The sequence below is a fragment of the Homo sapiens genome, chromosome 16 (assembly GCF_000001405.40).
Source record: "Homo sapiens chromosome 16, GRCh38.p14 Primary Assembly".
Classification (NCBI taxonomy): Eukaryota; Metazoa; Chordata; class Mammalia; order Primates; family Hominidae; genus Homo; species Homo sapiens.
In genome coordinates, this window is record NC_000016.10 from 13,433,827 (window position 1) to 13,448,703 (window position 14,877).

The 14,877-nt window shown below is 43.3% G+C and overlaps 1 protein-coding gene across 4 annotated transcripts in view, besides 3 other annotated features; it reads left to right on the forward strand.

The window, feature by feature from the left end:
- The window catches only part of SHISA9 (shisa family member 9), a 661,420-nt gene that overhangs the window by 532,229 nt on the left and 114,314 nt on the right, over positions 1-14,877 (forward strand). The window lies entirely within an intron of this gene.
- Positions 2,843-3,012: an enhancer, noted in NCBI's record as "active region_10483". NCBI's record gives its function as "activates an Ori minimal core promoter by ATAC-STARR-seq in GM12878 lymphoblastoid cells {active_cell/tissue: GM12878}" and the evidence as "EXISTENCE:reporter gene assay evidence [ECO:0000049][PMID:35858748]".
- Positions 3,253-3,312: an enhancer, noted in NCBI's record as "active region_10484". NCBI's record gives its function as "activates an Ori minimal core promoter by ATAC-STARR-seq in GM12878 lymphoblastoid cells {active_cell/tissue: GM12878}" and the evidence as "EXISTENCE:reporter gene assay evidence [ECO:0000049][PMID:35858748]".
- Positions 8,075-8,124: a silencer, noted in NCBI's record as "silent region_7222". NCBI's record gives its function as "represses an Ori minimal core promoter by ATAC-STARR-seq in GM12878 lymphoblastoid cells {active_cell/tissue: GM12878}" and the evidence as "EXISTENCE:reporter gene assay evidence [ECO:0000049][PMID:35858748]".

Genomic DNA, 14,877 nt, shown 5'->3' on the forward strand with positions numbered 1-14,877 from the left:
TTTGGCTTTGACCATCTATTGTCTGATTTTTGTCAGCTTGGTGATATTGCTTGTGTGTATTAGTCAGGGTTCCCTAGAGGGACAGAACTAATAGGATAGATGTATGTATGAAAGACAGTTTATTAAGGAGTATTGACTCACACGATCACAAGGTGAGGTCCCATAATAAGCCGTCTGCAAAGCTAAGTAGCAAGATACCCAGTACGAGTCCCAAAACCTCAAAAGTAGGGAAGCCAACAGTGCAGCCTTCAGTCTGTGGTCTAAGATCCAAGAGTCCCAAAGCTGAAGAACCTGGAGTCCAATGTTCAAAGGCAGGAAGCATCCGGCACGGGAGAAAGATGGAGGCCAGAAGACCCAGCCAGTCTACTCTTTCCACATTCCTCTGCCTGCTTTTATTCTGGCCATGCTGGCAGCTGATTAGATTGTGTCCACCCAGATTGAGGGTAGGCCTTCCTTTCTCAGTCCACTGACTCAGATGTTCATCTCCTTTGACAGCACCCTTGCAGATGCACCCAGGAACAATACTTTGCATCCTTCAATCCAATCAAATTGGCGCTCAATATTAACCATCACACTGTGTTAGACAAGCTATGTTTTTTTTTTTTTTTTGAGATCGAGTTTCAGTCTGTCACCCAGGCTGGAGTGCAGTGGCGCGATCTCGGCTCACTGCAAGCTCCGCCTCCCAGGTTCACACCATTCTCCTGCCTCAGCCTCCCGAGTAGCTGGGACTACAGGCGCCCGCCACCAAGCCCAGCTAATTTTTTTGTATTTTTAGTAGAGATGGGGTTTCACCGTGTTAGCCAGGATGGTCTTAATCTTCTGACCTCGTGATCCGCCCACCTCGGCGTCCCAAAGTGCTGGGATTACAGGCATGAGCCACCGTGCCAGGCCTAGAAAAGCTATGTTTTATACATAGTAAGTACTCAATAATTCTCATTAGAATGAAGAATAAATGAACGAATAAATGAATAGGAGAGGATTGGTATTTCAGGTTTTTAGTGGAACTTCAATTAAGCAAGTCGGTAGCATTCAACCAGCCCATTAGCCAGTCTTCTGATTACAAAGTAGTTGGAGCCTGTTTTGTTTAGAAAGAGATTGGTGCTTTTCAGAATGCACTGTGAGCAGAGAAAGCCTTTGGGGCTTAATTAATAATCCCTGTTTAAAATGAAAAATACACTAAAACTACAAATGTGTTGTGTGACAAGATTTCAGCCCTGTAGGTAATCTGTTCTTTTTTCAAACATACTTTCCTCTCTATTTACTGAATCCATTATGTTAATTAAGGAAAACACCAGCTTCCAGGAATATCCCAAGGATTTGTTTTTGATTTTTGTAGTAAAGCCTCTATCATTTTAACCATATTTATTCCCTGAAAGGATAGATGTACCCATTCTTAGAATCTTTTTTTTTTTTCAGTAAATGTAACTGAGATAACTATATGTCAGGAGCACTTAGAACTGCAAAGACTTCAAAGAGGTTCAGCAAGAACTCTCCCCACAAGGAATCTGAAATGTGGTTGAAAAGATGAGATAGATGCACATAACAAAGTTAAATAAAACATCAGGCAAATGACAGTAAACTATGTCACAAGAAAGGACAGAAAGCTGTGTGTGATCAAGCCCACCTTGGTGGAAAATGACACTTGTTCCAGTGGGGGTTTTTGTTTTTATAACTTTACATTCTTTGGAATATGACTGGAAAAGGCACTTTTCAATGAGTCAGCTAATACACAAACTATCCCAACCCTTTGAAAATTACTTCTGCTGGGCTCAGCCTTGGCAAAAACCTGAGGGGAAAAAAAAGAGTACATCCTACAGCCTCTGATGTTATCAAGCCAGGTTCATTCTGCCCACACGCAGCAAGCCAATCACTGAGGTGACAGGTTTTGCAAAAGAGTGAAGATTTGATTCACAAGGCTGCTGTGCTGGGAGACAGAAGAACAAATCTCAAATCCTCTCCCTGAACATAGGGCTTGGGGGTACTTCTGGGATAGGAAGCAAGGTGGTCTAAAGTGTGAGGAAATGTGATTGTGTGGTAGGAAAGGTGAGGGAATCAGGTTTCTGTGCAAGCATAAGTGAGCTGTATGGCTCTTCACAGGACTCATGTGAAGAAAATGATGGCTTTAGCATAACTTGAGGGTGGAGTTTTGGACCTCTGCTGTCAAAAGTCACTGTTGGGGCACCCTTGTAGGCCCAGTTGAAGGGTCAGCTATCTGAACTGGCTTGAACAGAACAAGAGCTGCCCCCTAGTGTCAGAGGTGTTAGAACCAGAGTGACTCCGTCTTGAATACAGACTGGGTAAAATAAGGCTGAAACCTACTGGGCTGCATTCCCAGGAGGTTAGGCATTCTTAGTCAACAGGATGAGACAAGAGGTCAAAAGATACAGGTCACAAAGACCCTGCTAGTAAAAAAGGGTGTCGTAAAGAAACCAGCCAAAACCTACCAAATCCAAGATGGCGACTAAAAGTGGCCTCTGGCCATTCTCACTGGTCATTATATGCTAACCATAATGCATTAGCATGCTAAAGGACAATTTCACCAGTGCCAGGGAAGTTTAAAATGCCATGGCAATGTCCATAAATTACCCCATATGGCCTAAAAAGAAGAGGAACCCTCAATTCCAGGAATCCCTCAGCCCTTTCCCAGAAAACTCATCAATAATCTACCCTTTGTGTAACATATGATCAAGAAATAACCACAAAAATAGTCAATCAGCAGCTCTCAGGGGCTGCTCTGCCTATGACGTAGCCATTCTTTTATTCCTTTACTTTCTTAATAAACTTGCTTTTACTTTACTCTGTGGACTCACCCTGGATTCTTTCTTGCATGAGATCCAAGAAGCCTCTCCTGTGGTCTGGATTGGGATCCATTTCTGGTAATACTAGTTCCTGAAAACCAACTTTAGGCACCTGTTACTATAGTGACACACAGTCAGAGATGTTATCCCCCCAGGAAGCTAGTGGGAGTTGAGTCACGTATTGTTTGGCCACGTGATTTGCTAGTGGGAGTTTTTAAGATCAACCAGAAGTAAATGATTAAAAGCAAGCAAGGCAGTGAAGTTTGACGGGCTTAATCAGGGTAACCTTTGGTTTCACCAACAGTTCAAAGCAAAGTCTTAAATGGGGGCAGGCAAGAGAGCATGTGCAGGGGAACTGCCCTTTATAAACCGACATCTCTCATGAGACTTACTCATTTTCATGAGAAAAGCACAGGGAAACCCCACCCCATGATTCAGTTACCTCCCACCGGGTCCCTCCCATGGCACATTACGGGAGCTGCAATTCAGGATGAGATTCGGGTGGGGACACAACCAAACCACATCGTTCCAGAAAAATTAGGGATCTTTGGTTCACAAAAAAGATTTTCAAGTTTTTACTCAAAAAAAAATGTCATGGAAACATCTGGGGGGATTGGTTGCCATGGTTACTGTAAGATGATATGGCTTCAAAAAAGATGGACATTAAAAGGCTCCCCTCCCACTCTACCCTGGGGAGAAAAGAGATTTCTGTGATGATGATGGTTACTAATTACTCAGCACTTATCTATTCCAGCCTGAAATCTAAGCACTTTAAACATATTAATATGCCCAACCACTCAGTAAAAAAGACATTATCAATATTCCAATTTTACGGATGAAAAACTGGAAGTGGAGAGAGGTGACCCCTTTTGCCCGAGGCTGAGCAGTCAGTAAGCAGAGAAGCCCGGATGAGACCCAGCCTGGCCCCAGGGCCCGTGTGTTTACCCTCTTCTGTGTTACCTCCCAAGCCATAAACAACTCGGTTACTGTGATTCTACTGAGAAGATCCTGATAGCTTGCAATTCCCTCTGCTGTGAACTCCCCCACTGAATTCTGGGGGCCCAGAGCATTTCTCAAGTCATTATTGATATCAGCTTTTTTCCCCCAGATGATCCTTGACTCATGGGGAAAGGGATCCAAGGTCCTATCAGTGAGGACAGCAAAAATAATCAAAGGCTTGACAATTCCAAGTGGTGGATCTAAGAGAAGGCAAGTCTAAGTTCCTAGCACTTTTTTTTTCTTTTTTTTTTTTTTTTTTGAGACAGAGTTTCACTGTTTTTGCCCAGGCTGGAGTGCAGTGACGTGATCTCAGCTCACTGCCACCTCTGCTTCCTGGGTTAAAGCCATTTTCCCGTCTCAGCCTCCCAAGTAGCTGGGATTACAGGCATCCGCCACCAGGCCCAGCTAATTTTTGTATTTTTAGTAGAGATGAGGTTTCACCATGCTGGCCAGGCTGGTCTCGAACTCCTGACCTCAGGTAATCCACCCACCTCGGCCTCCCAAAGTGCTGGGATTACAGATGTGAGCCACCGCACCCGGCCTCAGCACTTTTTATACCATTTCAATAACTGTGAGAATATCTGCAAGGCATTCACCTTGTGTGACCCTTAGTTTGCTCATCTGGAAAGTGGCAATGAAATCATTTTCTTAAGATTCTGGGAGGTTTAGACGAGGTTAAGTATGCATTGGGCACATAGGAGGTGCTCAAACAGTATCAGTTCCCCAATACCCATCATTGTGGCGTTTGTATCACAGAGACCTAACAGCATCTACCTATTTTCTATCTCTAACAGTAGCTAGCACACTCTTACATATCTAGTAGTGCTTTGATAGCTATTTGAACAAATCTTAAATAATCATTTTATTTTGTACATAAGACATTAAGCTACAAAAATAAAGAAAAGGAGAGAGCATAGCTGACACTTTGGAGAGAAAATGTCCTTACAGAAATGTAACTGAAAAATTAGACATATCATTGTTATTCGGTATTTCTCAAAAATGTATGGGAGTTTGCTGTTGCAAATAGGGGGAAAATAATCATTTCATTATGACTACTGAAAAGTTTTGGCAAACTGTGAAGACTATGTAACCGCTGGAGAAGAACCAGAAGTAAGCAGTGAAAATTCATTAAAAGGTCAGAAAATAAAAGGCCTATGTGAAAAGGTTAAAAATAATTGGGATTAGTTAGCCCAGAAAGGAAAAGACTAAACGGCAACTTAATTACTGTCTTTATTCCTTTGCAAAATGAGGTCCGCTCCATCCCAGCTGTCTCTGATAATGAGAAAACTAGAAAAAGTGACCCTAAAAGAAAGCAAGGGAAACGTAGGTCATTCTTGGGACATTTTACGGGAGAGAGCAAACATTTAAAATCCCGCCATTTGTGAAAATATGGATGCCCCTAGAGGACATCATGCTAAGTGAAATCAACCAGACACAGGAAGACAAATAGTGCATGAGCTCACTTACAACTTAAAAAAAGTCTTAAAAAAGTCAAACTCATAGAAGCAGAGAGCTCACATAAGAGCAAGAGATGGACCCTATGTCTCCTCTTTTCCCCTAGACTGATATCAAAACAGTGAGTAGTTTCCAGGGGCCAGGGGGAGAAGGACGTGGGGAGATGTTGATCAAAGGGAACAAACTTTCAATTTTAAGATGATTATGTTCCCAGTCTCTAAGGTACAGCATGGTGGCTCTGTTGTATACTTAAAATTTGCTGGAAGAGTAGATCTTAAGTATTCTCACCAAACACACACACACACACATAACTATGGAATGAGATGGATGTGTTAATTAACTTGATTGTGGTAATCATTTCACAACATATACATGTATCAAATTGTTGGTTATTTACCTTAAATATATACAATTTTTGTTTGTCTATTGTACCCTAATACATCTGGAAGGAGGGAAGAGGTTACCTGAAGTGATTCTAGAATTGGATATTCAGGAAAGCCTGTCTTTCAGATGTAATGGCTTGGAAGGGGGACCTAGGGGTTGGTGGAAGAAACCAAAAATGGCACAAAAAAATGGCAGAAACTGAAGGCAGGAGACATGGCTTCTGGTGACCCTTCAAGTTCTCAAATCTTTAATACCTTGAATGTGAGCCTTGGCCTCCCCCTCATTAAATGTCTCCGCTGCTGCCAGCGTGTGAAAACCAATTACAAGGGCCTTCGTGAGAAATGAGGACTTGGTTCTGCCACAGAGCCATAGAGGGAAATAAAAGGTCAGCTCTCAAAAGCCCAGCTGGGAGTCAACTCTGCTTCTTCTGACCTCCAAACTTTCCATTAGAAGGGCAGTGATCTCAGCGATTTACCAGCATGGGCAGCTGGGCCTGTGATTAGATAAAATGCTGTTAAGGAACTGAGTTAATACTCAGGCAGCCGCGCCTCAAGAGGACGTGCGTTCTGGGAGGGTCAAAGCCTTCCTATACTCGTTGGTAAGTTTATCTCCTTAATGGAGGAGGGGAGGTCTGGTAAATTATCAGTCTTACTATCACGCAGTCAAATGCCCCCACAGAATCCATGAATTTGAAGGTGGTTTCTTAATGGTATGTGGGTGGGGGTGGAAGGTTCATTCTGAATACTTGGGGGCTCCCTTTCCTCAGAAGGAAGCCTCTCCCATTTGTATACCCTCTAATTCCCAGTCTTCATCCATGGAACTCTAATCCCGTTAATGCCTTCTGTTTCTGCAATAGAGCCTCATCTGCTTTTCTCTTTGGCTTTAGGGAAGAGTTGTCAGTCATTTGATTCCATCTATTTGGTTTGCTGCTGTGTTGGGAATCAGGGATAGAGTTTAAGCTCGTTTATTGAAGGGGGAGAAGGAAAGAGAAAGCACCTTGCCATTGACTGGCTTTAAAACAGAGCAGAGACATCCAGATTTCAAAATGTCAAGACTGACGCCCCCTTTGCATGTCTCCTAGTTATTCTGTTAACAGAGTCTCTTCTGCTCTGAGCTTCTTTTCTAAATGTCTTTTCTATTAGCCTAAAACCTGTGTGTGCTTTGATTAAAAAAGGGACATTGGTGGCCGGGTGCGGCGGCTCACGACTATAATCCCAGCACTTTGGGAGGCCGAGGCGGGCGGATCACGAGGAAATCGAGACCATCCTGCCCAACATGGTGAAATCCCTTCTCTGCTAAAAATATAAAAATTAGCCAGGCGTGGTGGCGCGTGCCTGTAGTCCCAGCTACTCAGGAGGCTGAGGCAGGAGAGTCGTTTGAACCCGGGAGGCAGAGATTGCAGTGAGCTGAGATCGTGCCACTGCACTCCAGCCTGGTGACAGAGCAAGACTCTGGGAAAAAAAAAAGAAAAAAAAAAAGTCATTGATATATTCCAGATCCCGGGAGGGATAATCTGGGAGTCGAGAAAATTAATCCAACTCACATGGCAATAATGAGAGCAAGAGGTGGGGTCTGGGAAGGGAGTGGAGAGGACAGAGATAGCAGAGAAGAAATATATTTGATTTCACAGGGACCTGAGGAAAAATAAAAGCAGAAGATAAAAGCAGTTGAAGAAAAATACACGCAAACTGTGCTTAGAACTCCATTTCTGTCTGTTGGGAAAGAGGAAGCTGAATTGTAGAGAAGGAAACGTAAACAACAATATGGCATCCTTCTAAAATGAAAATGCTTAAACCTGCCAGGCTCAGAGGGACACAAAACTTTCCTCACTGTCAGGAGGTTCCTGGAGTCACCAAATCCCAAGAATGGAAATTTGTGCACCTACTTGGCAGACACACCTGAGAGCAAGAGTTTAACTTAAGCATACCTGAGAATGACCCTATCATCTAAGAATCTGTGTTTGGAGTTCTAAGTGAAGGAATCCAAGAGTGGCCAACCTAGAGATCCATTCCCTATCTATGAGGAACATCTAAATCCCCCAGCCTATCCCATGGAACACAGGCCATGCATGGAGATCAATGCCCTTTGTTTTGGGTTAAATGATGGTTGCTAGGTGTAGGTTGCTAAGGGGAGGGTGCTAAGTGAAAATGCTCTATAGACTGCATGTTTTCTATAAGTGATTGTGATTCCCCTGTCCAGTCTGCCCCCACTGGACTGCCCTGTATGTAAGTCTTCAATGAACCCTATGTCTCATTCACTGGCTCTGGGTCTCGTTAGCCTGTCAAACCTGGTGCCGTCCCTATTGAAGTCACCCCAGCTTAAAACTGGGATGACTTAAGCATGACAGCACCCCAGCCTCAGAGCTCTGGTTTCAGATGTGTTTTGACCTGAAACTATGTGTGGGGCCGTAGCCATATAATTCCCAACCCAAAGGGATGTGCTGAAAAGGTAACCCAAGATGACTCAAAACTTTCCCTTCCAAAAAATGCAGTTACCTCTACTCTGTATTTGCAAATGCAAACTCAGCTGCCTCCAGGGCCTGACAGATAATGAAAGTGATGGAGCTTCTTAGATCTGAAGAGTGCTTGCCTGTTGGCAAGAAGCAGCCAGTAGTTAGCCTCAATAGCTTCCAAGTGGGAGCACATTGCCAGATCTTCCAAGTCTCCAAGAAAGGGCAGAAATATAACTCTTCTGTTAGACCTCCTAGTTTTGTTGTTGATGTTTCTTTGCTTGTTTTGGTTTGGTAAAAGGATGAGAAACAAAATAAATCTTTTTCCAGCTGTAGAAATCTTTCTGGAAGAGACACAGAGACACCTGAATCTTGATGTGTCTGCAAATGTTAACAAGGAAACAATTTTTTTTTTGATATGGAGTCTCACTCTGTTGCCCAGGCTAGAGTGCAGTGGCGCGATCTTGTCTCACTGCAACCTCCACCTCCCAGGTACAGTGATTCTCCTGCCTCAGCCTCCCAAGTAGCTGGGATTACAGGTATGCACCACCACACTTGGCTAATTTTTGTATTATTATTAGAGACAGGGTTTCACCTTGTTGGCCAGGCTGGTCTCGAACTGACTTCAGGTGATCCGCCCACCTTGGCCTCCCAAAGTGCTGGGATTACAGACATGAGCCATCTCACCCAGCAAACAAATTCATTTAAAAAAATCCTGCAATAATATTGTACTTCAGATTTTCAAGATGTTACTGTTGGGGACTAGGTAAGGTGACTTATGCCTATAATCTCAGCATTTCAAGAGGCTGAGGCAGGAGGATCACTTGAGCCCCAGAGTCTGAGACCAACCTGGCCAACATAGTGAGACTTGGTCTCAACAAAAAAATAAAAATTTAAAAAAGGATGTTACTGTTGGATGGCTGGTGGAAGGGTGCATGGGAGTGTATACTAAGTTTGCAACTTCCAGTGAGTCCATACCTATTTCAACATTAATAGTTAAAAGAAAACAAGCTGCTCAAAACAAAATACTTTGCACACCAAATAAAAATAGGTTGGCAGCTGACTGTTTCCTACTCTCCTTTAGTTTGAGAGACTTCTTTCCTTCATCAGAGCCATAACTCACTGAGGGGCAAAAGCAGACCAGACTCACAAGACGGCCCATAAAAGGACTTTCCATTACACTTCTTTTATTTTGAGACAACATACTGTTTTTTCTGGGAAAGTTCACTGGACAAAAGTGGAAAACAATGTTTCAGGAATCCAACTGTACCAAATATAATGAACATCATCTGTGTTGAAGAGATTTTATTGAGGTTGATGGTTCAATGTGACTTGGGACCAGGGAAATGAAGAAATTCTAACTAATCTTCGGAGAACTTTTTCTAGGAGAGGAGGTTTGGGAGAGGATGTCATATAGACCAAATGAATTCATTTTAGAGTCAGTGCATCTGAGTTTGAATTCCAATTTGGCTTCTTACTGAAAGACTTTGGGAAATACTTGTCCATTTTATTATCTGTTATCTATAAAATGGGGATGGTACAATTTCCACTTCCCAGAGCTGAGATAAGATCTTAGGAAGTAATGCACCGTGCAAGCCCTGATAATCTTTAAAGTAGCAATCCAACATAAATGACAGTGATTGTTTTCGTTACTACGTGCTGGGACATACCCCTCTGATCAATTTTATGTCCTTGTAATCAATTCTGCATGTTCCCAAGCCCCTATGTTTTTATTTAGTTTATAGGGGCTCATTTTAAACAAGAAAATAAAACTTTCATTTATTGCCTTGTTCTGCGACTTCTATGACACACCTGGGAAAGATTAACATTAACAAAATGGCACGCATCATAAACCATCCACTAATCTAATGCCCCTTTATTATTCTTCTTAGGCCTCTCTTTATTCTTTTTTCTCCCCCTTGACATTATTTTCTGTCTCTTATGGGATCATCTGGACATCAATCTTGTTTAAACACAGTTTCCTTCTTGTACAAAGTAGAAGTCCAGCCTAGAAGTCCAGTAACTTACTTCCAAAGTACTTCTTGGCCTGGCAAGGCAATAATTGTCATGGAATAGCCATCTCCCAGGATCTGTGTTTTACAAAACCATCTTAGAAGGAAGCTCCTCACCCCTCCCCTTCACCAAGACTGGTTTGTTTCCTTTTCATTGCTGTTAAATATTAGAAAATATGGCTCACGCCTGTCATCCAAGCACTTTGGGAGGCCAAGGCTGGAGGATCTCTTGAGCCCAAGAGTTCAAGACCAGCCTGGGCAATATAGACAGACCCTGTCTTTACAAAAAATATGAAAATTAGCCAGGCGAGGTGGCACGCACCTATAGTCCCAGCTACTCAGGATGCTGAGGTGGGAGGATTGCTTGAGCCCAGAGGGTGGAAGTTGCAGTGAGCTGAGATCACACCACTGAACTCCAGTCTCAGTGACAGAGCAAGACTCTGTGAAAAGAAAGAGAGAAGAAGGAAAGAAGGAAGGAAGGGAGGGAGGGAGGGAGGAAGGAAGGAAGGAAGGAAGGGAGGAAACAAGGAAGGAAGGAAGGAAGGAAAGAAGGGAGGAAGGGGAAAGTCTTGCAGGTCTTTTGGAAATATTTTCATTTTTCCAGCACGTTCTATTGTCTGTGTCCTTTATGTTCTCCAACTTTATCTACTAGTCTTGATTGTCTCTCACTATGTGTGAGCAACACCAAACTGTTTGTAGAGAGCTGCTCAGAAGGTTGTGGGTCCTCATCTCTACACCTTTGCAACAGCTGCACCAGTGTTCTCCACCTGGTTAACCCTTGTGCATTCTTCAAGATTCAGTGCCACCATGTCTCCTCCAGAAAGACTCCCAGATCTGGAAAAAGATTTCTCTTTCTTCCCTCCCTCTTCCCTCCCTCTTCCCTCCATCTTCCCTTCCCTTCCCTTCCCTCCTCTTTTCTGCTCTTGCTCTGTCACCCAGGCTGGAGTGCAGTGGTGCAACCTCAGCTCACTGCAACCTCTGCCCCCCTGGGCTCAAGTGATTCTTGTGTCTCAGCCTCCCAGAGAGCTGGGACCATGGGCACACACCACCATGCCTAGCTATATATATATATATATATATATATATATATATATATATATATATATGTTGTATTTTTGATGGAGACAGGGGTCTTGTCTTGTTGCCCAGGCTGGTCTCGAACTCCTGAGCTCAAGCAGTCCACCCACCTCGGCCTCCCAAAGTGCTAGGATTACAGGTGTGAGCCACTGCACTCAGCCTGGAAAAGATTTCTTTTTCATCCTTTTGCATTTTAATTCTTGTTATGTGCTTGTCTCCCTCCTATTTATAAGTTTGTCAAGGCACCCACAGAGTCTTGTGGATCCTTCTTTGCATCTCCAGCACCTAACACAATCTCAGCACAAAGGAGGTTCTCAAGAGATGTTTGCTGAAAAACAGTTAAATTTGAATGAATTTAGATGTTAAGCTTTGTGGAGATAAAGGTTGTGTCCTTTTCTGTTCATTACTGAAGCCCAATTCCTATAATAGTCTTTGGAACCTAGTGGTCAATAAATATTTGCAGAAAGAACGAAGGAAGACACAAAGGAATGAGCATATATTGGCTTAAATATTAGTGATAGTGAAAAGAGGCTGTTATTCTTAGAGGTGAATTTGAAATTATTTTGTTCACTACCCTTTCCTTTGAAATGTTTGGTCTTAATTCATAGCGCTATGAGATTATTAGGTAAATTTGAAATTATTTTGTTCACTACCATTTCCTTTGATTGAAACTTTTGGTTTTAATTCACAGTGCTATGAGATTAATCTAGGGACAATATACTGAAGCAGTAGGTTAAACTCATGGGTTCTACTTGAAGCCAGACGACCTAGACTCAAATCCTGACTTTACCACTTACCAGTTATGTGACTTTGGGAGGTTGCTAAACCTCTCTGAGCCTCTGTTTTCTTACCTTTAAAATGGGGGCTAATAACATTACCTCCAAGACTAGTAAGAAGTTTTGCCCTCATTTGAGAGTCAAAGAGGCATTTAGAATATTGCCTAGTACTTTTTTTTTTCTTTGAGACAGAGTCTCACTCTGTTGCTAGGCCTGAGTACAGTGCTGCGATCTCAGCTCACCGCAGCCTCCGACTCCCTGGTTCAAGTGATTCTCCTGCCTCAGCCTCCCAAGTAGCTGGGACTACAGGTGCCCGCCACCATGCCCAGTTAGTTTTTTTGTGTGTTTTTAGTAGAGACGGAGTTTCCCCATGCTGGCCAGGATGGTCTCGGTCTCCTGACCTCGTGATCTGCCAGCCTCAGCCTCCCAAAGTGCTGGGATTACAGGTGTGAGCCACCGTGCCTGGCCGTGCCTAGCACATTTTAAGAGCTCATTGTATTATTATTATTTATATTAACTAGGAGCAGGTTTACTGTAACATTCAATATAATGAAAAACATTTACTGAGTCCCTAATATGCATTTGACACTGGGCTATGTCCTAGGGAGGCAAAGATGTTGGAACTAAAAATTCTTGCCCACAAGTCACTTGTAGTCTATAAGATAAAAAATTGAATTTGGTATTATGAGTTCAGTGAGGCCAATAAAGCAGGGTCAGCAGAGGGGGAAGTGAATTGCTTTCAATTGCTGCAGTGAGACCAATAAGATGTCTTAGAGAATGAGATTTTGAGCTGGGGGTTAGAAGGATTAATAGGAGTTAAGCAAGAGAGCATATGTATGGCAAGGCAACTTGTTGAGACTGTGTGTGTATGTGTGTGTGTGTTTCTGGTTGTGGGAGAATCAGAAAGGATAAGATCCATGCTGGGCGCGGTGGCTTACTCCTATAATCTCAGCACTTTGGGAGGCCGAGGCGGGTGGATCACTTGAGACCAGGAGTTTGAGACCAGCCTGGCCAACATGATGAAACCCTGTCTCTACTAAAATATACAAAAAAATTAGCCAGGCACGCTGACACATGCCTGTAGTCCCAGCTGCTTGGGAGGCTGAGGAACGAGAATCGCTTGAACCTGGGAGGTGAAGGTTGTGGTGAACCGAGATCTTGCCACTGCACTCCAGCCTGAGTAACAGAGCGAAACTCCATCTCAAAAAAGAAAAAAAAAAAAGTGAAAGGGACAGGGTAAAACTATGTGTGGGGCTGTAAAAAAAAAAAGAGAGAGAGAGAAAGAAAGAATAAAATCCATCTGTATTTTGTTTTCTATATTTTCTCTCCACCCCTGCTTAAAGATGGCATCTTGGCACATGTGAGCCTTTGGCTTGAGAATGTTCACCCAGAAGCTGAAGACACCACCCTGTCCCTTTCACATTTTCATTCTGAAAAATCCATTAAAGAGATTTTCTGAATTGTGTCAGGGAGCTGTTTTGAGTCCCAGTAGTCAGAAGCTGCAGGAACAACAGGGGGGTTCCTAAGTCTAGAAAGTGGTGGTTTGGGGTTCCCTATGGATTGCGGATTTGCGTTCTACACATTCATAGTGTTCCAAGGAGGTGGCAGGAACTCTGAGAGCAATAACTGATAGGTGGAAAGGCTGGTCACATGTTGGCCCATCTCTGGCTGCACAGTGTGGCTGAAAGGTGGAGCAGCTTACCCAGCAATGCGGGGCAGACAGGGACAGACAGAGCACCTGCTAGACCCACTACAGATGCTGCACATGTGGGCAGATCCAAGCTACCAGGAGTGTCCAGCACCCAGGCATTTGCCTTTTTAGTCTCAGTCTAATCTCCATGGAAGTTGGAATCATTTTCTTTGGGAGATAGACATGCATTATAATCAGCAAATCATGGAATAAACACAGAGGAACCAAGAATGGCCAGGCTAATGAGACTCGGAGACCATCAACTCGCCAGCTGCATACTGCATACACACAAAAAACTCTTTTTTTTCTATCCCACATGTTGAAAGATCGTCACAGAAATGTGATTACTGTAGTGGGTAAACATCACAGCACCTAATAAGGTCTTCTGAAAAAAATGCATTTGCAACAAAAATTATTGCATGCCCTTCATTTGAACGCATGATGGACTTGAGAAAAGACATACAAAAGTCATTAGGTGAGGGTGACGATCATGTGCTCCAAAGTCACTTAGAGAGAAACCTGAAAAGGAAAACCATTTCAACAAACACAGGCCCAGGGTGTCTATCGTTAGTCACAGAAGCATTACTTCCAGGGTGGGTTTAGAAATCACCTGTCCACATGAACCTCTTGCTGCCAGACACATACACCATCGGACTTACTGCTTTGAGCCTTTTGAAAGTCTGCCAGAGGTGAGTTTTCCCACTCATTTGGAGAAAAATTTTCATTGGAGTGCTTTCCCTGGAAGTAGGTTTGGAGGTGTCCTATAGAGAGCATGCACATGTACCCTGGTCTTTTATTCCAGTGCAAAAGGCCAGATTTCCTGGTGATGGGAGGGTAATTTTAAATAGTGGAACACGCCTTCAAAGGCCATTATCGAGTCTGACCTAAGCACTAGGTTGGCCCTGATCATTATGCCTCTTAGCTGTGCCCTACGCTATAATAATCCATTCTCATGCTGCCCCAATCATCACAAAGACACCCTCTCAAGCTGCACAAGTCACAGACTGGGTCTGTCAACTTCTTCCTGATGCCCAGAATGAGATAAGAGGTGAACGGACCGTACTCTTCTGCAGACAGTTATATAACAGGAAGCCATCTGTGGCCCTGCCCCAAGGCAGAGCCTACATGTTCCTGATATGTCCTCCCTACTCATTTCTCATTGATGGCTCCAGATGTTGAACTATAGTGATTTCTGAGGTCGCCTATTCAGAATATCCAAACATTACAGAATATCACA